The sequence below is a fragment of the Homo sapiens genome, chromosome 12 (assembly GCF_000001405.40).
Source record: "Homo sapiens chromosome 12, GRCh38.p14 Primary Assembly".
Lineage (NCBI taxonomy): Eukaryota > Metazoa > Chordata > Mammalia > Primates > Hominidae > Homo > Homo sapiens.
The window spans coordinates 8,395,958-8,417,937 of record NC_000012.12 but is presented as its reverse complement, the minus strand read 5'-3'; the positions used below and the strand labels follow the sequence as shown (position 1 = coordinate 8,417,937).

Sequence of the window (21,980 nt, the reverse complement as noted above, 5' to 3'; positions counted from 1 at the left end):
CACAGGGTTGTGTACACCCCCTGCGATATTGGGAGTCATATCATCCTCTCTCCCTGTGGATATTAGGAAGAGGATCACGGGGCTCTGGAAACCCCCTGCGGTACTAGGAGTAATATCATCCTCTCTCCCTCTGAATATAGGAAGATTTTCACAAGGGTTTGTGCACCCCCTGCGATATTGGGAGTAAGATCATCCTCTCCACCCAGGAAATGACTAACAAGGTCACAGGGGCGTGTGCTTCCCCTGCGATATTGGCAGTAATGTCGTCCTCCCGAAACCTGGATGTTAGCAACGAGATCACAGAGGGGGTGTACACATCCTGCGACATTGGAAGTAATAGGATCCTCTCCCCACCTGGATACTGGGAAAAATACCACAGCGCGGGTATACGTTTTCTTCGACATTGGGAGTAATATCATCCTCTATTTTGCTGGATATTGGGCACAAAAACACAAAAGGTTGTACAACCCCTGCGATATTGGGAGTAATAACATACTCTCCTTCCCTGGATGTTAGAAAACAATATCATCAGGGCTGAACACCCCCCGCGATAAAGGGAGTCATGTTTACGCTTTCACAGGCCATTTGGAACAATATCACAGGGGACATTTACAAACAGGGGTGGTGTACACCCCCTGTGATATTGGGAGTAACATGATTCTCTCCACCTCCGGATATTAAGAACAATATCCCGGCGGGAGGTGGTACACCCCCAGTGATATTGTGAATAATGTCATCCTCTCCTTCCCTGGATATTAGGAACAATATCACAGGGGGGTGTACACCTTCTGTGATATTGGAAGTAATATCATCCTCTCCCCTGCTGGATATTAGAAAAAAAATCACTCACAGTGTATACCCACGGTGATATGAGGAGTAATATCTTCCTAGGGTATTACGAATAATTTCACAGTCTGTACACACATGGTGTACACTCACTGTGATATTAGGAGTAATATCTTCCTAGTAGATAACAAATAACATCGCAGGGTGTACACCCACTTTGATATTAGCTGTAATATTTTTCAAAGTTGTTACAAATAAGATCACAGGGTGTACAAACATGGTGTACACTCACTGTGATATCAGGAGTCGTATCTGTGTAATATATTATGAATAATATCACCGGGTGTACATCCACTGTATTATTAGGAGGAATATCTCTGTAGCATTTTACAATTAAGATCACAGGGTGTAGAGCCACCGTGATATTAGGAGCAATATCTTTCTAGGATATTACAAATAATATCACAGGGTGTACGCCCACTCTACTGTCAGGAGCAATATCTCCCTAGGATATCAAAAATCCTATCACAGGGTGTCCAATCTCTGCCTTCCATGTTCTAAGGGATTCTCCTGCTTCAGCCTCCCGAGTAGCTAGGGTTACCCGCCACCACGCCTGGCTAAGTTTTTTTTTATTTTCACTGGAGGCGGGGTTTCACCACGTTGGCCAGGCTGGTCTGGAACTCGTGACCTCAGTTGATCCATCAGCCTCGGTCATCCAGAGTGCTGGGATTACAATTGTGAGCCATGGTGCTGGGCCAAGAGTTACAGATTCAATTCATTTGGAAACACAGCTCCCATTTTTGAGTGTGCGTGTACTTTTATGAAGAAGTGATGTCAGAAAACCGAAGGATGATAATAAATATGAAAAGTAATAGGCATATGAAAAGGTCTTCCGATTGAGAACTATAAGGTTCCATTTCGTTTTCAGATAATGGGGTCCTAGCTCTCGTGTCGTCCTTTTACATGTTCTACATCAATGGAAGTTGCAGCACGGTGTCAGAGTAAAGTAGAGTGTATTTCACGGCTTCTTAATTTCTTTCAATTTGACTGAGATCTTTTTCTGAAAGAGAGAAGGACATTTTCATTGCATTGTATTTTTTCTGAAAAGAGTAGGCCGTATTTTACTGAGATCACGGATTTGTTATATATGACATTTTGGTCTTCTAATATTCTTCAGTGGATTTTCTCTAAAGTAGTATGTACAGAAAGCCTCGTATAGCTAAAAAGTAAATCACGTAAAAATTCTGAGATTTTTGGAATTGTCACAACTGAGAAACATTGCTGGCGGTGTATGGTCCGCAAGTGTCAAGATGTTCCTTGTGAATTGCTTGCATCCAACATTAAGGGCTGGTTTTTATCTTTTATTTTGCAATCCTCTTTCCTTCTCAAGGTGTCCAAGACACACAGAGCCACGGAATCTCACAGGTGTCTGAGAATTCCTCCTCCTGGGACTCTCAGAGGATCCAGAACTGCAGCCCGTCCTCACTTTGCTGTCCCTGTCCCTGTCCACGTATCTGGTCACGGTGCTGAGGAACCTGCTCAGCATCCTGGCTGTCAGCTCTGACTCCCCCTTCCACACCCCCATGTACTTCTTCCTCTCCAACCTGTGCTGGGCTGACATCGGTTTCACCTCGGCCACGGTTCCCAAGATGATTGTGGACATGCAGTCGCATAGCAGAGTCATCTCTCACGCAGGCTGCCTGACACAGATGTATTTCTTGGTCCTTTTTGCATGTATAGAAGGCATGCTCCTGACTGTGATGGCCTATGACGGCTTTGTAGCCATCTGTCGCCCTCTGCACTACCCAGTCATCGTGAATCCTCACCTCTGTGTCTTCTTCGTTTTGGTGTCCTTTTTCCTTAGCCTGTTGGATTCCCAGCTGCACAGTTGGATTGTGTTACAATTCACCATCATCAAGAATGTGGAATTCTCTCATTTTGTCTGTGACCCCTCTCAACTTCTCAAACTTGCCTGTTCTGACAGCGTCATCAATAGCATATTCATATATTTCGATAGTACTACGTTTGGTTTTCTTCCCATTTCAGGGATCTTTTTGTCTTACTATAAAATTGTCCCCTCCATTCTAAGGATTTCATCGTCAGATGGGAAGTATAAAGGCTTCTCCATACGTGGCTCTCACTTGGCAGTTGTTTGCTGATTTGATGGAACAGGCATTGGCATGTACCTGGCTTCAGCTGTGTCACCACCCCCCAGGAATGGTGTGGTGGCGTCAGTGATGTACGCTGTGATCACCCCCATGCTGAACCTTTTCATCTGCAGCCTGAGAAACAGGGACATACAAAGTGCCCTGCGGAGGCTGCGCAGCAGAACAGTGGAATCTCATGATCTGTTCCATCCTTTTTCTTGTGTGGGTGAGAAAGGGTAACCACATTAAATCTCTACATCTGCAAATCCTGCCCCTTAGTCACATTATTTTTGTGGCTTGATGGCTTTTATTCCTTTCCACATTTCCTTTGTGAATATTGCTTTCTTCGTTATGCCTTTAACTGGAATGGGTGAGGATTCTGGGATCCTTGGTTTAACAGAAACCTCATGACAGGATCCTCTATACCTAGGCGGCCTCTTTTAGTTTCTGAGCAATAACCCTGTCATCCGGGTGGAATCACAACCATCTTTTTATATACACGAAGTCCTCACTTCGTTTTGGAATTCCCTGAAAACTGACTTTATGGAAACAATGTACAGGAGGTCCTCCAACACTACTGGTTGTTCAAAGTTGTGTAGTTATACTGTTGATGAAAAATAAGTGGTTTCACTATACATAATTTTGCTTCAAGTTGAAGTTTCCAAGAGACTTTCAAAGATGTTAAGTGAGGACATACTGTACATCAAATTCATATCCTCTTCCACAGTTCCTGTGGAATTTCTTTATAAACTGCTTCTAGAGAATCTATTTAGGCAGGTTCTGTGGAGAGATCCATGTCGCCGTTCCTCAATCTTGGCTTTGAGTCAAATCACCTGGGGAGCTTACAGATGATGAGGCCTGGGTCTCAATACCTGAGATTCTGATTTCCTTGCACCTGTGTGAGTGTGTGGATTTTTTTTTTCTTTTAAAGCACCAGCGGTGGTTCCAATGACGAAGTTTTTAGAGGCATCAAGCTCCAATGAGTTAGAACAGAAAGTAATTGTAATATAATTTCTTCAAATATTATCTTCAAATGCATTGTCCATCAACACCATACCAATGTTTATTATGCTGTTTTTTCTTGCCATTTCGCATTTTCTATTTCTTTCTTTTCCTTTTTTTTTGAGTCAGAGTTTCACTCTTGTTGCCCAGGCTGGAGTTCGATGGCACGATCTCGGCTCACTGCAACCTCTGCCTCCCGTATTCAAGCAATTCTCCTGTCTCAGGCTTCCAAGTAGCTGGGATTACAGGCATGCGCTACCATGCCTGGCTATTTTTTTTTTTTGTATTGTTAATAGAGACAGTGTTTCTCCATTTTGGTCAGGCTGGTCTTGAACTCCCGACCTCAGGTGATCCGCCCGATTCCGCCTCCCAAAGTGCTGAGATTACAGGCATGAACGACCACACCCAGCCACCACTTAGCATTTGCATTTTACATTTGTTGAAGTTATAGATTTATGCACACATCAATTGCTGCTTTGTTATACACTTGCATATACGTAAGATGTGAAATAGAAAAGAATAAAATAGGCCCAGTATCCCTGAAGTTTCATATTCCGAGTCTTTTAAAATATGTGCTCTTTAGAAATTTGTTTCAATGAAGAAACTGTGGTATACACACCCAATGAAGTATTATTCAGCCTAAAAAGGAAGAAACTCCTCTCCGCTGCAGACAAAATGGATGAGATTGCAGGTCTGTATATTAAATGAAAGAAGCCAGGCACAGAATTACAAATATTTCATGTCCTCACTTCTATGTAGGAAGAAAAAAGGAAACCTTGGCCACGTGTGGTGGCTCAGGCCTTTAATCCCAGCACTCTGGGAGGCCGAGTCTCATGGATCACTTGAGTCCAGGAGTTCGAGACCCGCTTGGCCAACATGGTGAAACCCCGTCTCTACGGAAAAAACAAACAATTAGTCGGGCTTGGTGACGTGTGCCTGTAGTCTCAGCTACTGGGAGGGCTGAGGCCCAAGAAGCGCTTGAACTCGGGAGGCGGAGCTCGCAGTGAGCCCGGATTGTGCCTGTGTACTCCAACCTGGGCAACAGAAAGAGACTCCATCCTACACCTACACACAAAAGGAATCTGAGTAAGGTGGAAAGTATAAAGGAGGTTAGCAGACGCTACGAAGAAAAGGGGTGGGATGGGGAATGAAGACAAGTGGATAATTGGGTCCCGAAATACAGAAAGATGGAATAAGTGAGTTCTAGTGTTTGATAGTACAGTATGAAAATTTTACTTCACAAGAATTTCTTGCATAATTCCAGATGGTTTGGTAAGAAACTTCCTAACTTTCTCATTATGCTGGTTTTTAAGCTCTTCTCTTTCTGCTCTTGAAATCACGCTGGTTTTTTGTTTTTTGTTTTTTGTTTTGAGATGGAGTTTCGCTCTTGTTGCCCAGGCTGAAGTGTGATGGTGCAATCTTGGCTCACCGGAACCTCTGCCTCCTGGGTTCAAGTGATTCTCCTGCCTCCACCTCCCGAGTAGCTGGGATTACAGGCATAAGCCAGCACGCCCAGCTAATGTTGTATTTCTAGTAGAGACGGGGGTTTCTCCCTGTCGTTCAGGCTGGTCTTCAACTCTTGACCTCAGGTGATCAGCCCTTCTCGACCTCCCAAAGTGCTGGGATTACAAGCGTGAGCGACCTCGCCCGGCCCATGCTGTATCCTTATCTGTTGTCTGTTGTTGTTTGTTTGTTTTGGAGCCCAGAAATAACTTCCCACCTATATGTTCAAATGATTTTTCACATGAGTGCTAAGAAAGCTCATTGGTGGAAAAGCAGCCTTTTCAAGAAATGGTGTTGGAGAAACTTGATTTCCACATGCAGAAGAATGAAGGTGGACCCTATGTCACACCAGGTGCAAAAATTAACACAAACTGGATCAAAGACCTCACCCCAAGCGCTAAAAGTATCATACGCCTAAAGGAAAACATTGGCCACGCTTTCATGACATCAGATTGGGCAATGTTCTCTGGAATATGACAACAAAAGCATAGGCAACAAAAGAAAATTAGATTCCTTGGATTACATCTAAATGACAGACACTTTTGTGCAGCAAAAAACACTGCGAACTGAGTGAAAAGATAACCCATGGATTAGGAAAAATATTTGCAAAGCATATATCTGAAAAGAGGTTGATATCCATCATATATAAAGAACAGCTAGATCTAAACAACAAGAAACCCAAAGCATCCCATCAATAATGGTCAGAAGACTCGAGTAGACGTGTTCCTAAAGAAGATATAGCAATGGCCAATAAGCATCTAAAATGATGTTCAAAATCACTCATCATAGGGAAGCGCAAATCAAACCAAGAATGTGTTACCAAACATTAGGATGGATATGATAAACAAACAGGCATTGGCGAGACTAGAGGGAAGTAGGAATGCTCGAATATGATCGGAGGGAATGTAAAACCGTGAAGGAACGGGGAAAATAGTATGGCGTCTAACTGGAAAAATTAGAAACAGAATGATCAGATGTTCCCGCAGTTGCATTTGTGGGTACATACCAAAAAGAATTAGAAGCCAGGAGTGGAAGACAGATTTGTGTACACCCATATTCATAGCAGCATTATTCACAACAGCCAAAATGTGGAAGCAACCGAAGGGTTCGTGGACAGATGAATGAAAAAGCACACTGCAGTTCCTTCATACAATGGAAGACTATTCAGCCTTCAAAAGGCAGGCACTTCTGGCCGCTGCGGTAGCTCAAGCCTGTAATCGCAGCGTCTTGGAAGACCGAGGTGGGCGGATCACCTGAGGTCAGGAATTCAAGACCAGCCTGGCCATCTTGGTGAAACGCTGTCTCTACTGAAAATGCAAAAAATGAGATGAGCGTGGTGGCGTGTGCCTATAGACCCAGCTACTCGGGAGGCTGAGGCACAAGAATCGCTGGAACCCACGATGTGGAGGTTGCAGTGAGGCGACATCACGCCACTGCACTCCAGCCGGGGTGACAGAGAAAGACTCTGTCTCCAAAACAAAAAAATTAAACACGGTATGATTCCACTTTTCTAGGAACTGTCTAGAGTAGTTAAACTCATAGAGTTGCAAACTAGAAAGGTGGCCCCCAGGGGTGGGCGAGAGAGAGGAGTGGAGAGCTTGGTGAATGGGTGGAATTTCCATTTCGAAAGATAAAACTGTTCCGGAGACGATGGCAGTGATGGTTGCTAAACAATGTGAATGTACTTAATGTCATTAAAATGTAAACTGAAAAAAAGTGGAAATTGTAAATGTGTATGCTGGCCATTCTATATGAACTAATATATATTTATAATTTTTAATATTTATACGTGGTATATTTTCTGATAATAAAAGATGAAAATTAAAGCAGTTGGATGTTTAAAAAAGAAAAGAAAGAAGCGAAGAATACACACCCAGCTTTCTCCTGATTAGAGGAAGAGCCCCAAGGCTTCTATGGACACTCACTTTTCTCTTCTTCTTCTTGCAATATTTTGGGGAAATCCTTAGAGGTTGGGGAACTTGGGCGACTTTGGCTAATGAGGAGCTCTGTTCCTTGAGCCCCACAGGCCACAGAATAGTAAATACTCCGTCTGTGCCTCCAGTCCTGCAGTGTGGGGTTTCAGTCCTGTGGACTCCACTCCCGTCACCTGGATCAGGGGGCTCATGTCTCACCCTGTCTTCTTGCCAGCCTTGAGGACGGAGTCTGAGCCTCCATGGTGCACCAAGTGGGGATGAGAGTGGACCTGTTCTCCGTGGTCATGGCCCAGCAGAGGGGAAGGGCAGTTCAGTGAGGGTAGGGAAAAGAAAGAGAGATCAGACTCTTACTGTGTCTATGTAGAAAGGGAAGACATAAGAGACTCCATTTTGAGAAAGACCTGTACTTTCAACAATTGCTTTGCTGAGAAGTTGTTAATCTGCAGCTTTGCCCCAGTCACTTTCAACCAACCACTTTGACCCAACCTGAAGCTCACAAAAGCATGTGTTGTATGAAATCAATGTTCAAGGGATCTAGGGCTGTGCAGGACGTGCCTTGTTAACAAGATGTTTCCAAGCAGTATACTTGGTAAAAGTCATTGCCATTCTCTAGTCTCAATAAACCAGGGGCACGATGCACTGTGGAAAGCCGCAGGGAGCCCTGCCCTTGAAAGCAGGGTATTGTCCAAGGTTTCTCCCCATGTGATAGTCTGAAAAGTGTCCTCGTGGGATGAGAAAGACCTGACCGTCCCCCAGCCCGACTCCCGTAAAGGGTCTGTGCTGAGGTGGATTAGTCAAAGAGGAAAGCCTCTTGCAGTTGAGAGAGAGGAAGGCCGCTGTCTCCTGCCTGCCTCTGGGAACTGAATGTCTCAGTATAAAACCTGATTGTACATTTGTTCAATTCTGAGATGGGGGAAAAACCGCCCTATGTTGAGAAGTGAGACATGTTTGCAGCAATGTTGCCTTGTTATTCTTTACTCCACTGAGATATTTGGGTGGAGAGAAACATAAATCTGGCTTATGCACACGTCCAGTCATAGTACCTTCCCTTGAACTTCCTTATGACATAGATTCTATTGCTCACATGTTCTTTGCTGACCATCTCCTTATTATCACCCTGCCCTCCTGCTACATTCCTTTTTGCTAAAATAATAAAAATAATAATCAATAAAAACTGAGGGAACTCAGAGGCCTGTGCCGATGCAGGTCCTTGGTATGCTGACCGCCGGTCCCCTAGGTCCACTGTTGTTTCTCCATACTTTTTCTCTCTGTCTTATTTCTTTTCTCAGTCTCTCGTCCCACCCGACTAGAAATACCCACAGGTGTGGAGAGGCAGGCCACACTTTCAAGTGAGTGCTGAGGGACGGTTGGGGGTCTTGTTTGTTTCCTCATCCTCAGGACAAATTGGAGAGTGCGGTGGGCAGATGTGAGGACACCAATATGCAACTCTCTGCTCAGCAGACTGTGGAGTTTCTGTTCTTTGTTGTGGTGGGGGTCTCAGAAATCTTATTCAAAATTTTGCTTTCTTCCCCCACTGGTTGTCCTTTTCATAGACATCTCACCCATGATAGCAGACACTCAGTCCCTCTAAACTATTCCCTAAGAACAACAAAAAGATTATGAAGGTGATGATGAGGATAAAGAGGATGACGACAGACACCATGGCATCATGAACCCTTACTGAGGGCTTCCTAAAGGCCAGGCTCTGAGCTCTGTGCTCTATGCAGCTTGTTTCATTTCATCTGCATAGTCTCCATCTTATTAGTGCACATTTCAGGATGATTTTACAGACTAGAAAAGGCGCAACGGATTTTCATGTAGCTTGTAGCAGATCACGAAGTCAAAAAGGGTGAAGTCCAATTTGAACCAGGCAGTCTAAGTCCAGACACATGGCATTTGGCCAGTCCTCTCCCTGCAACCAACCTGCCCTCTCAAATCCTCGTCACTCAGGCGGATGGCCCTGCTCACTGTGCCCTTCCCTTTGGGGGTTCCTTGTAGACCACAGCTCGACAAGTGGGTGCCACAATCACTGTGTCAAGTATAGAAAGGACAGCTGAGATCACATCGAGGATTCCAGAAAGAATTGGCACAGGTTCATCCGGGACGCATCTCTCCCTTGCCCCTGTTCCTGGCTTTCCTTACAGCTCTTGACTTCCTCAAAGGAGTCATCAATTCAGAGTTTGGCTTCCATTCCTATTGAGGAAGCTGGAAAGTGTTTCAAAAATGCTCCTCCGATGTGCCTGTGGTTAAAACCTCTGAGCTCTGCTTAAAACTTCTTGAAGCTGGGCGCAATGGCTCACGCGTGTGATCCCAGCTCTTTGGGAGGCTGAGGCAGGTGAATCACAAGGTCAGAAGTTCAAGACCAGCCTGGCCAACATGGTGAAACCCTGTCTGTACTAAAAATACAAAAAAAAAGAAAAAAAAAATTAGCCATGCATGGTGGCGTATGCCTGTAATCCCAGCTACTGGGGAGGCTGAGACAGGAGACTCCTTTGAAGCTGGGAGACAGAGGTTGCAGTGAACCAAGATCACGCCACTGCACTCCAGCCTGGGCAACAGAGCAAGACTCTGCCTCAAAAAAATAAATAAATAAAAATTACGAAAAAAAGTGCTTAGATGGGCTTGGCAAACTTTAGCCATTAGCTCACGTACCACTTTGGAAGGGCATACCTTCAGTCACTTCACCCTTGAATCCCTTTGCTCAAGACTAAAGTTCTGAGAGGATGTCTAATAGGCTGAGTTGTGTCCATGTGGGCAGTGCAGGAAAGGATGCAGCGGGAGGCTGCTCCAGGGACGTCTTTGGCTTCCATCATGGGGGTGCAGGCAACTGGATTATCCACCCCAAGAAATCTGGACAAAGGAAAACGAGGTTCTCTGAGGAAGGAGACATAGAGCCCAGGGAGCTAACCAAGAGACAAATAGTCATCCTGTCTTGTCATTTTCTTTTACACATGTGTGCACATTATCTTACACTTATCACTTTGTTTTCTTTCTTTCCTTTAATTGCACCCTGCTGCCAAAAGTTAAAATAAAATGAAAGTATTGAGATAGCTCAGTAACTGACTTTTGGTCAATTGCCTTTTCATATAGTGAACAGCTGCCCAAACGATTGTCTCTGTCACTGTGCAAATTTGCAAGCGTTTGCATGATCACTCCCAATCCCCCAACACAGGGCTGTGTTACAGCACAATTTAGTTCAGTGTTTTGCTCTCTGCAACAGGGAGGTTCTCATCCATTACAGGTTTCAGTAAAAACAGGGGTACCATAAGCAACCCCCTCTTTCCTCAACGATGTGATGAAAGCAAAAGCCAAGTATCTTCATGTATCCAACTTAAAAATAAAAAAAGTTACGCCCGTGGGCTGCAGTTGGAGCTATGGCGGCGGCAGCTGTCACTGGGCCTAGCCCGGAGTGTGGACCTGGGGACTCCCCAGAAGGGCCCGAGGGGGAGGCTCACGGAGCGTCGGCGGAAGGCGCACAGAATGCTAAAGCTTTACAACGGCCTCTCGAAAGGGGAGGCGGTGGGACTCCCCGCGGGGACCGACCCCCTGGACCCCACTGATCTGAACGGGGCGCACTTCGACCCGGAAGTTTACCTAGACAAGCTTCCTAGAGAGTGCCCTCTGGCCCAGCTGATAGACAGTGAGACGGACATGGCGCAGCAGATCCGGGCTCTAGACAGCGACATGCAAACCCTGGTCTATGAGAACTACGATAAGTTCATCCCAGCCACAGAAATTGACAAACAGCATAAAACTGTATGAAGAATTGCAGGAGACCCAGAATTTCCCAAATAACCTTATAAAAGAAGAATAAAGTTGGAAGACCCATGCAAAAAAAAACATATATATATATATATATATAATATATATATATAAATAAAGATGTGTTTTCGTTCAGTTGTAAATGTTTAGTAATTACTATTGTGATTTTTCATTTAACTCATGAAAGGATATTTTTAATTTTCCAAATGTATGCTTGTGTTTAGCTATCTTCTTGCTGTTGACTTCTAATTTTGTTGCATTATGGTCAGGATAATGTGGTCTGGACAATGTCAATCGTGTAGTGGATTTTGTTGAGACTTCTTTATGGCCTAATATGTGGCCAGTTGTTGTTGTTGTTGTTGTTGTTGTTTTTTTTTTTTTTTTTGCAAATTTGCCACATGTGGTTAAAAGGAATGTGGATTATTTGTTTTTTTTTGAAGAGTTTTTATTTTTAAATAGATAAGGTTCTCAGTGTAATTGAAATCTAGCTTCATTTAACAATATGCTAGATCTCTCAAACCTTAGCATGTTGGTCAGTGTAACAATAGACTGCTGCTGAGATGAATAAACCCTGAACTCTCAGTGGGTTGGCACACATAGCATAGTCTGATGCAGGGCAGGGGTTCTCCTTGGGGGCCCTTGTCCAACAGTGATTCAGAGATTCTGGAGCTTTCCATCTTTTAATTCTGCCATCTCAGAGTTTTTCACTTCTAGCCATATGGATAGGAAGAGAGGGAACATAGCTCACACTTGCCTTTGATAACCTTGGCGCAGAAGTGATTTCTTACATTCCTATTGGTGGAAATGCAGTCACATGGTTCCAAACTAACTGCAAGTGAGGCTGGGAAATGTAGTCTTTCTGCATGTAGAGGAAGAGGAATGGTGTGAACCCAGCATTGTCTTTGACACACTAAGCATGGGCTGAAGAGTTCTTACTCTCATAGGAGGTTTGTCTGTCCTGTGTAACTTTCTCAGTTTTGCTTAGATAGTTTCAGGCAATGTTGTTTGGTGCATTCAGGTTGATGATTATTATGTCCTCTTGGCAAAGTAGTCAAGATTCCCATCAGTTTGAATGAAAGTGCTTTACAGATAGGTCAGGAAATGTTAATACTTTAAAAGGCCCTTCTATTCCTCCCTCTACAGATAAGAACAACAGAATCCTAGAGAGAGGAGGTCATGGGTCTCACTCATGAGTGGCAGAATTGAAACCAACATGGCAGTAACTTTGCCTTTCCCCCATCATGTTGTTATCCCTCTATCTTCACTCTGCTGATTTCTTCACTTGCTCCATACAGACCTCCCAGTGCCAAGTGTATAAGTGTGTCTGGAATTGGTGGGTTCTTGGTCTCACTGACTTCAAGAATGAAGCTGCAGACCCTCCTGGTGAGTGCTACAGTTCTTAAAGGTGGCATGTCTGGAGTTTGTTCCTCTTGATGTTGGGATGTGTTCGAAGTTTCTTTCTTCTGGTGGGGTTTGTGGTTTCACTGGCTCAGGAGTGAAGCTGCAGACCTTCATGGAGAGTGTTACAGCTCTTAAGGCTGCACGTCTGGAGTTGTTCATTTCTCCCGGTGGGTTCATGGTCTCACTGGCTTCAGGAGTGAAGCTGCAGACCTTCTCGGTGTTACCGCTCATAAAGGCAGTGTGGACCCAAAGAGTGAGCAGCAACAAGATTTATTGCAAAGAGCAAAAGAACAAAGCTTCCACAGTGTGGAAGGGGACTCCAGCGGGTTGCCACTGCTGGCTCAGGCAGCCTGCTTTTATTCTCTTACCTGGCCCCACGCACATCCTGCTGATTGGTCCATTTTACAGAGAGCCTGAGTGGTCTGTTTTGACAGGGCGCTGATTGGTGCATTTACAATCCCTGAGCTAGACACAAAGGCTCCCCTCGTCCCCACTAGATTAGCTAGATACAGAGTGTCCACACAAAGGTTCTCCAAGTCCCCACCATAATGGCTAGGTACAGAGTGTCGATTGTGGCATTCACAAACCCTGAGCTAGACACAGGGTGCTGATTGGTGTGTTTACAAACCTTGAGCTAGATACAGAGTGCCGATTGGTGTATTTACAATCCCTTAGCTAGACATAAAGGTTCTCCAAGTCCCCATCAGACTCAGGAGCCCAGCTGGCTTCACCCAGTGGATCCCGCACAGGAGCCGCAGGTGGAGCTGCCTGCCAGTCCCTCTCCGTGCGCCCACACTCTTCATCCCTTGGGTGGTCGATGGGACTGAGTGCCGTGGAGCAGGGGGCGGTGCTCGTCGGGGAGGCTCGGGCCGCACAGGAGCCCACGGAGTGGAGAGGCTAAGGAATGGCGGGCTGCAGGTCCCGAGCCGTGCCCCGCGGGGAGGCAGCTAAGGCCCGGCGAGAAGTCGAGCACAGCAGCTGCTGGCCCAGGTGCGAGGCCCCTCATTGCCCGGGCCGGCAAGGCTGGCCGGCAGCTCCTAGTGCGGGGCTGCCAAACTCACGCCCACCCGGAACTCCAGCCGGCAGGCAAGCAGTGTGCGTAGCCCCGGTTCCGGCTCACGTCTCTCTCTCCACACCTCCCTGCAAGCTGAGGGAGCCAGCTCCGACCTTGGCCAGCCCAGAAAGGGGCTCCCACCATGCAACCCCGGGCTGAAGGGCTCCTCAAGTGCCGCCAAAGTGGGAGCCCAGGCAGAGGAGGTGCTGAGAGCGAGCGAGGGCTGTGAGGGCTGCCAGCATGCTGTCACCTCTAATAAGGAGTGATTAATCTGAGCTTCTCCAGAAAGTCCATTCCTGGTTGGCACTGGGAATAAGAAATCTCAGAGTATAAAAAAACATCAAGTGGTAGCACTTTTGTGAATGGCTCCCAAATTAGATCCTTTACTTTTTTTTTTTCTCATGAAGGACAGTTGCCCAAAACAGGCTTAGCCTGAGATGAAGCACATATTAGAGAAAGTTTCTCTCTATAGCATTATGTATTACTTGAATGAGCATTAAAAAGAGGAGACGCGACATGCTCTCTCTAGCTGTTATTACCTGCACTATAGAGTTGACAGACACAAGCTCATTATTGCATTGTTTTATTCAACAAAATAACTTTAATGTTGAAGCTTAAATTGAATTCGCTAAAACATCTTTGTCTCCAGCATAGTGTGCCTCAATGTCCCCTTGGTGCCTGAATTTTCTCCAGAATTATAGTGCTGAAGCTATGGAAATGGTGAAATTATATGTAATCTGCAAAACAATGTGGCTATAACGTGGTAATTGGCCTTCCACATAATTAAAGGAACATTTCCTCATCAGAGCTGTTCCATCAGAGACCCAAAGGCTATCGTTGTACAAATCACCTACTTAGGAAAACCTTTATTCCCAGTAGCCTATAAAAATCTGGTTATGCAAACAGATTTGCTTATTCAGTAACATTAATGGCTTCTCATAGTTAAAAAGTCATCAATGTGATTGACCTATAATCTGTTTCCTCTGTGACCAAGTGTCAATTTTATTTTGACAGTTAGGAGCCTTTTGACTCTTTCACAGCTAGCATGAAGGCACAGGGAGGGAAATCTCAAAAACCAACAACCTGTGTATTCCCAGCCTATTAATCAATAGAAAATCACTTCAACTGGATTAGGGTCTTGTACCTGGAAGAAAGGCTGTTATGGACATTGGAATTGGATTTTTACACTTGATATGACACCTCCTTGAGTCAGATCAGATTCGTGTTTGATAGACTCTTGCCGAAAAATTGCTCCAGGGTCTGTGCGGTAGCTAAAGCCTTTTTGTTGTTGTTGTTGTTTTAAAAGCAGCATTAAATGTTTTCATGAAGACCTTCCCAGCAGTGATGTTATTGGGAATATGGTCTTTAGCTCTGGTCCTGAATAACTCACACTGAGGAAACCTCTAACAAGTGTTGTATTGGAAGATGTCTGATGGATGGTTGGTTTTAATAACAAATCTCTTCCCTTTTTCTGTCCCCTGTGTTCTATTCTCCTTTCTCTATACATTATTCTGGGAGGATTCACCTATTCCCAAAGTCCTTTCCTCTTTATTTCCATTCCAGAGCTCTCTGTATAACTCCAGGCTGATGAATCCAATGGCCCAGTTGTTATCTCTATTTGACTGTCTTTCTTGCATTGACCTCATCTTACCTTGCCTCTCCTGATTTCCTCTTCTGCCTGGGCTCAGCACGTCAGATTCACACCACCATCCACCCAGCTTCCAAAACACCTGGGCCTCCTCCTTCGTTCCTCCCTCTTTCTCGTCAAGTTAGTCTACTGTCTCTTCTCCATCCTCACTGCCACAGCCTTGGTCCAGCCAACCAACTTGTCTCACTTGGCTTATTGCAGCCTACTACCTGGTCTACTCACCTCCCACTCTCCTCCAGCCAGACTGCTCTTTTTATAGCACAAAGTGGATCATTACTCCCCTGCCTAAAAACATCTACTGTCTCCCTTTGTGTACAGGATAAACACGACAAAGAGCCTTTAAGATTTGGCTCCAACTTACCTCTATATTAGTCACTTTTTATAATTATATGAACATCTCTCAGCTCCTCACCCTCTCACGTCTCGATTTTTGCACATGCTCTTCCCCCTGCTGGGAATGATCTTCCACACCTCTCCTATCGACCTGGCTAATTCCTACCATTTTCTAGTCTTCAACTGAGGAGTCCTGTGGTGGAGAAGGATTTCTCACCACCTGATAGAGATTGCATGCCCACCCACCTCCGGGCTTTTATTTATTTATTTATTTATTTTTTTGATGGAGTCTCGCTCTGACCGTGCAGGCTGGAGTGCAGGGGCACGATCTTGGCTCACTGCAATCTCCGCCTCCCAGGTTCAAGCAATTCTCTCACCTCAGCCTTCTGAGTATCTGGAAATACAGGTGCCCGCCACCACATCTGGCTAATTTTTTTGTATTTTTAGTAAAGACAGGATTTCACCATGTTGGCCAGGCTGTTTTTGAACTCCTGGCCTCAAGTCATCCACCCACCTTGGCCTCCCAAAGTGCTGGGATTACAGGCATGAACAGCTGCACCTAGCCAATCGGGTGCCTCTTCTATGTGCTCCCATTGCCCCAGACATACTGTCACCATAACTTTTACCATTCTGTGTTGAAAATGATTTTTTTTTTGCTTTTTATTTCTCTCACTAAATGCAAAGCTCATTGAAAAGAGGACAGTGGTTGTTCACTATTGTACTCCTAACCTTTGACTCAGTGTCCTGAGGTTGGCTCTAGAGCTGTGCACACATGTTCAGACATTGGAGCACATCTTGTCTAGCACCTCTTTTTAGGTGACTTAGAGAAAAGTCAGTAGGTACTTCCCCAAGGATGAAACAGAAGCTTCACCTAAACCAGTTCTTCAACTTCAGCCTGCATTAGAATCCTCTGAGAGCTTGTTAAAAATCCAGTCTCCTAGAGCCCACTCTTCAAGAGTCCGTGAGTTGCTTCATCATCAATATATATATAGAATTCAGGCAGTCTTCAGCGCCAGCCTGGTCTGAGCCACTGTGGACTCCCACCTGCAGAATCTCCCTGCTGGTCTCCTTGCTTCTGCTCTTACCTTCTTATTACCTATTCAAGTAGCCAGGGTGATCCTTTTTAAAATTTTTTTTAACTTTTTTTTGAGATGAAGTCTCACTCTGTTGCCCAGGCTGGAGTGCAGTGGTGCTATCTCAGCTCGCTGCAGCTCTACCTCCTGGGCTCAAGCCATCCTCCCACCTCAGCCTCCTGGGTAACTGGGACCACAGACATACACCACCACACCCGGCTAATTTTTGTATTTTTTGTAAAGACACGGTCTTGCTATGTTGCCCAGGCTAGTCTTGAACTTCTGTGTGCACCCACCTCAGCCTCCTGCATTTTGAGGAGGCCCCTCTTGTAGGGATTTTGATGCAGACGCCTGGGTGCCTCATGTCTCCTCCCATCTCTCTCTGTCTTTCTGTCTCTGTCTCTCTCTCTCTCTTTCTCTTTGCCTTATTGCTGCCCTGGGGACTAGACTCTGCCTTAGGCATCCCTCTGAATCTTGTTTGCTTTTACACTGAGGCTGCTTTAAATTGCACCTTGATCTGAAGCCTTGGGCTTCTGTTCCTACTCCTTGCTTTTGTTGGAAGGGCCATGCAGCTTCTTGACAAATTGCAAAGGTGCCCACGAGTTTCCAAGTCCCCAAGAACCAAACCAGATGACAAACAAAGATGCAGCCCACAGCTGGAGAGACAGATTTCATGTCCACACAGAGACTCGAAGATGCTGAACTGAAATCCACCCCGAAACCTGCTTTCTCTCTCATTTAAGTTCAATGTGAACTGGGGGCTTGCAAGGCAGGGCTGGTGACCATTCACAGGGCAAAGATGCTTTGAAATGGCAACTGAGAATGGTGTGGTGGTTGACAGATGGCACGTCAGAGCATAGATTAACATGAAAAGAGAAACTCACCCCTTGGGGGGAGTGTGTGAGGCTGGCAGCCACACAGAGGGCTTTTCCTGCGAGCTCTTGCATAGATGCAAACAGCCAGGAGGTTTTGCTTTCTGAGCCTGAGTGGAAGCATGTTCCTCCCTGCACATTGCCGCTCTGCAGCAAATGTTTATTCCTGTTGCATTGATTAAAAGTGCTTACCAGGCCGGGCGCGGTGACTCACGCCTCTAATCCCAGCACTTTGGGAGGCCGAGGCAGGCGGATCACAAGGTCAGGAGATTGAGACCATCCTGGCTAACACGGTGAAACCCCGTCTCTACTAAAAATACAAAAAAAATTAGCCGGGCATGGTGGCGGGCGCCCGTAGTCCCAGCTACTTGGGAGGCTGAGGAAGGAGAATGGCGTGAACCCAGGAGGCGGGGCTTGCAGTGAGCCGAGATTGTGCCACTGCACTCCAGCCTGGATGACAGAGCAAGACTCCGTCTCAAAAAAACAAAGTGCTTACCGAAGGGGTTTGAGGGCATTGGTGACAGTGTGAGTTATGGCTCTGCCGGCTGCCAGTGGAGCCAGCCGCTCTGCACAGCTGTGCAAGCATGTTTTGAAAAGTGGCTCAGCTGGCCAGGAGTGACTGGCTGTAAATATTGCTGCCACAACATCTTGTAGCCTGATTGGGGCCATGTTTGCAGAACCCCTAAACCACTACACTTGTTCAGGCTTAAAAATAAGCTTACTTTTTTTTGTTTGTTTTGTTTTGTTTTATGAGATGGAGTCTTGTTCTGTCACCGGGTTGGAATGCAGTGGCATGATCTCGGCCCACTGCAACCTCTGCCTCCTGCGTTCAAGTGATTCTCCTGACTCAGGCTCCCGAGAAGCTAGGACTACAGGCGTGTGCCATCATGGCCAGCTAATTTTTGAATTTTTAGTACAGACGGGGCTTCACCATGTTGGCCAGGATGGTGCGATCTCTTGACCTCGTGATCTGCCCGCCTTGGCTTCCCAAAGTGCTATGATTACAGGCGTGAGCCACCGTGCCTGGTCAAACATAAACTTACTTTCTTACCCCTTCTCCTGAACTCTATTTGCTTCTTTTCTCAACTTCTGCTGAACTCTATTTTGCTTCTTTTTCCTGGATAAAGCTCTTCTTTATCCAGAAGAGCTTTTAGCAACAAAGTTACCCAATGCCCTTCCCTAGTCTCTCCTTGCAACTGGCTCTCAGCGGATGGGGGTGGGGAGGGGTGGTGGGTAGGAGGAAATCCTTGACAGAACCAATTTACATGACTGTTTGGAGGACTCTCGCTAGCCCCAGGAGGTGTTTGCATTTTTAAATTGGTTACTAGTGTCAGAATGTTTCATGAGTAAGAGCACAGCCTCTAAGTTGGATACCATGAATTTAAATCTCAACATGGCCATTTTGTATATAACCAGAGGATGGATTTGGGGACCCAATGGATCTACCATGACATGAACTTGCACCAACATTCACCTGACCACCAAAATGCCTATTCTGTCTGGTAGATCCTAGTCTCGCCCTAGTGCCAGTTCAGAGCCTGTGTCCAGTGATCCTGCACTGGTCTCATTAGTTCCTTTTCTCCTATTCAGTCATCCTGGTAAAAGGCTGTGTATTCCCTTGGGGGCAGGCTGGGAGAAAGATTGACAGTATTAATTTGTGGCAGTGGAGCAGAGTCCTTTCTGGAGGGGACCTGGCTTCCCATTCAGACAAGGGACTCTGGGTCTGTGAACTGGCTTATATCTGGGAATTGACTGGGGACTGTGACTCTGTTTTTAGGATTCAGATTAGACTTCTGCTCACCTGACCTAGAACTCTTCTGCAAACACAGATCCAGTAAAAATGTGGCAGGCTTCTTATCTATTTCACTTCTAGGAATGCCACGATCAGCTGGCACCATAGGTCTCTGCGAGTCAGGCTATTCTGGTTGCAGCTTTGACTCTGCTGTCTTTTAATGATAACTGCATCCACCTTGCCTTTGGGGACTGAGTGCTCTGATCACTTGGTCCCAGCCTCTGTAGTGTGCCTATGTCACTTACCCTCTTTATACCTCAGTTTCCTCCTCTATAAAATGGGCATCCTAATAGCACCCACCCTCAGGGCTGCTGTGGGGTATAGATGGATTAGCATATGGAAAGTAATAGAAGAGCATCTCAAAGTCCATGTGTCGTTATCAGAATTATTTCATGATAGGGAGAGCTGGAGGAGGGAGGAAGGTGCTGAGCAGACCCATGTGCTCTGCCACCAGTGTTTCCTGAGCACCTACTGTGTGCTGCCCACTGTGAGAGCTGTTAGGGTTGAAATAGAGAGCACAGCAGGGTAGGGGCTGCCATCAGGAGCTTAGTTGGGGAGACCATTGTGCAACATGGTTCCAGCTCTTGGGGTGGAGAAGCTCAGGGGCCTAGGATCCTGGGCAGAATCTGGGGAAGGACACAGCCTCCCCAGCCTCTCCTGCCTCCTCTGCCTCCCTGGCCTCCTCTGCTTCTGTGGCCTCTCCTGCCTTCCTGGCTTCCCCTTCCACCCCGGCCTCCCCAGTCTCCCCTGTCTCTCCTGCTTTTGAGGTGGGCCAGGAGCTGCTGGTGCTCACTTAGCCTGTCCTGGACTCTGGGTGTAGCACCTCCATGTCCAGAAAATACCCCCGAGTTCAGCTCATCACACAGCCAAGGAAGGAGCTCCACACTGACACTAAGGGTGCATCCTGGGCTCCTTCATCAGGGCATGCCTCCAAAATATTTCTCCACGTCTCCTCCCTTTGCCCACCTGCATTGTCTCTGTGCCTCAGCCCCGGCTGGGGGCCTGCAAGGATCCCCTATCTCCTCTGCCCCTGCACGGCTGGGTCCAAGGCCATCTGTCCACCCACCACACCTCTCTCACCTTGCCCACCACGCTCCAGCCCCACCGTCCTCTTTCTGCTTCTTTCCCAGCCTCTGGGCTTTTGCACACGCTGTTCCCTCTGCCTGAACACCCTCCACTGGGCTGAGAACAACTCTCTGAGACCTCTCTCAGCTGTTGCTTCCTTTGGAACAGCCGCTGCTGCTGTCCCTCTCCCAGCTCCAAGACCTGCTGAGCCTCCTGTCTTTTTTAGTTCCCATGCACCCAGCACTTCTCCTTGGCCTCCTTTGGCCCAATTGACAATGTCCATTCTCAATGCCTTCTCACCCAGTGCTGAGCCCCACTGGGTGAAGGCAATGCCTGTCATGTTCACCACAATATCCCCTCCCCCATCACCACGCCTGGTCCACAGTGATGCTCAGAAAAGATCTGTTGGTAGGCAATGCGAAGGTGCATTCATGTCATCCTGCAGGCGGAATTCTCCACGAGTTTTGAGCAGCCTCGGTTTTCCCACCACCTCCAAATCATGGAAGACACAGGGTAAGAGCAAAGACAAGGTGGCTGTGGCCAATGTCCACCCTCTCGGGGCGTCCCTTCTCTTCCTCCTCCTTGAGCAGGGAGACCATCGGGGTGCAACCTGGCTGGGGTGGCGAGGAGGTGCAGGGCCTGGCCAGAGCGGGCCTGGCCACGGGCAAGGGACAGCGACCTCCTGGGCCAGGACGGGTGAGAGCGGCGCAGGCCCGGGCCCGGCGTGGTGGCGGTGCGCGTGAGCGGCCAGCAGAGGGCGCCAGAGGACCACGAGCGGCCCGCGGAGGAGCCCGCGCCGCCCCGATGCCCAGCTCCGCGCCGCGCGGACCCACCGAGCCCGCGCTCAGACGCCCCAGCTCCGCCGAGAGGCCGCTTGCGCAGGCTCCTTCTTCTTCCGCAAGTGTAGGCAGAGCCCCCGGAGCCATGGCCAGCCCTTCCCGCAGCTCCGAAGCCACTGGCAAGCCCCGAGGCAGGGATGGCCGGCCCAGGAGGGAGGAGGACGACGTCCCTCCCGAAGAGAAGAGGCTGCGGCTCTTGCTGGAGGGGGGAAGCGCACAGCCCCAGGACGGCGAGGACGGGGAGGACGCGCCGCGGCCGGGCAGGGTGGAGACCGGCACCCAGACAGGTGGCGACGGCAGAGGAGTAAGTGACGCGGGCGCGGGGGTCCGGGGGTGCCGGGTGCGCGGGGATGCGGGGAACGAGGGGTAGGGGCGGCGAGAGGCTCCGTGGCCTGCCCCGGGTTGAAGTTGGGAGGGCGGCCTTCATTCTGAACCCATTTAGGCAGCACGGGCAGCCCTCCTCGCCGTGGGCTGCATCAGAGCCCCCCCTGCCCAGTCTTGGGGTTGCTCCCGGATGCTGTCTGGGAGGCTTGGTCATGGTGACATCCTCATCTCCCCGTGCACGTTACCGCATTCGGAGCTTGGGTCACCTGGACACTGAACTCAGGCGAATTTTCTCTGAGATCCCGGGAGAAGGAGGACAGTTCTTTGGAAGGTTTTGCAGGGCCGATCACGGAAAGGATGAGAAGGGAGAGGTCCTGGTCGGGGACACAATTACAGTGGCAGTGTAACACCAGGAAACTTTATTGCGTGAAGTCCTTCTCACTCC

At 47.4% G+C, this 21,980-nt stretch overlaps 2 pseudogenes, besides 4 other annotated features; both read left to right on the top strand.

The window, feature by feature from the left end:
• OR7E140P (olfactory receptor family 7 subfamily E member 140 pseudogene) lies at window positions 2,164-3,159 on the top strand (annotated as a pseudogene).
• VPS51P3 (VPS51 pseudogene 3) lies at window positions 10,743-11,105 on the top strand (annotated as a pseudogene).
• Window positions 19,704-20,203: an enhancer, noted in NCBI's record as "H3K4me1 hESC enhancer chr12:8550331-8550830 (GRCh37/hg19 assembly coordinates)". NCBI's record gives its function as "activates a minimal SCP1, AML or CMV promoter by ChIP-STARR-seq in naive H9 embryonic stem cells {active_cell/tissue: H9 hESC(naive)}" and the evidence as "EXISTENCE:reporter gene assay evidence [ECO:0000049][PMID:30033119]".
• Window positions 20,204-20,705: an enhancer, noted in NCBI's record as "H3K4me1 hESC enhancer chr12:8549829-8550330 (GRCh37/hg19 assembly coordinates)". NCBI's record gives its function as "activates a minimal SCP1, AML or CMV promoter by ChIP-STARR-seq in naive H9 embryonic stem cells {active_cell/tissue: H9 hESC(naive)}" and the evidence as "EXISTENCE:reporter gene assay evidence [ECO:0000049][PMID:30033119]".
• Window positions 20,998-21,047: an enhancer, noted in NCBI's record as "active region_5934". NCBI's record gives its function as "activates an Ori minimal core promoter by ATAC-STARR-seq in GM12878 lymphoblastoid cells {active_cell/tissue: GM12878}" and the evidence as "EXISTENCE:reporter gene assay evidence [ECO:0000049][PMID:35858748]".
• Window positions 21,168-21,427: an enhancer, noted in NCBI's record as "active region_5933". NCBI's record gives its function as "activates an Ori minimal core promoter by ATAC-STARR-seq in GM12878 lymphoblastoid cells {active_cell/tissue: GM12878}" and the evidence as "EXISTENCE:reporter gene assay evidence [ECO:0000049][PMID:35858748]".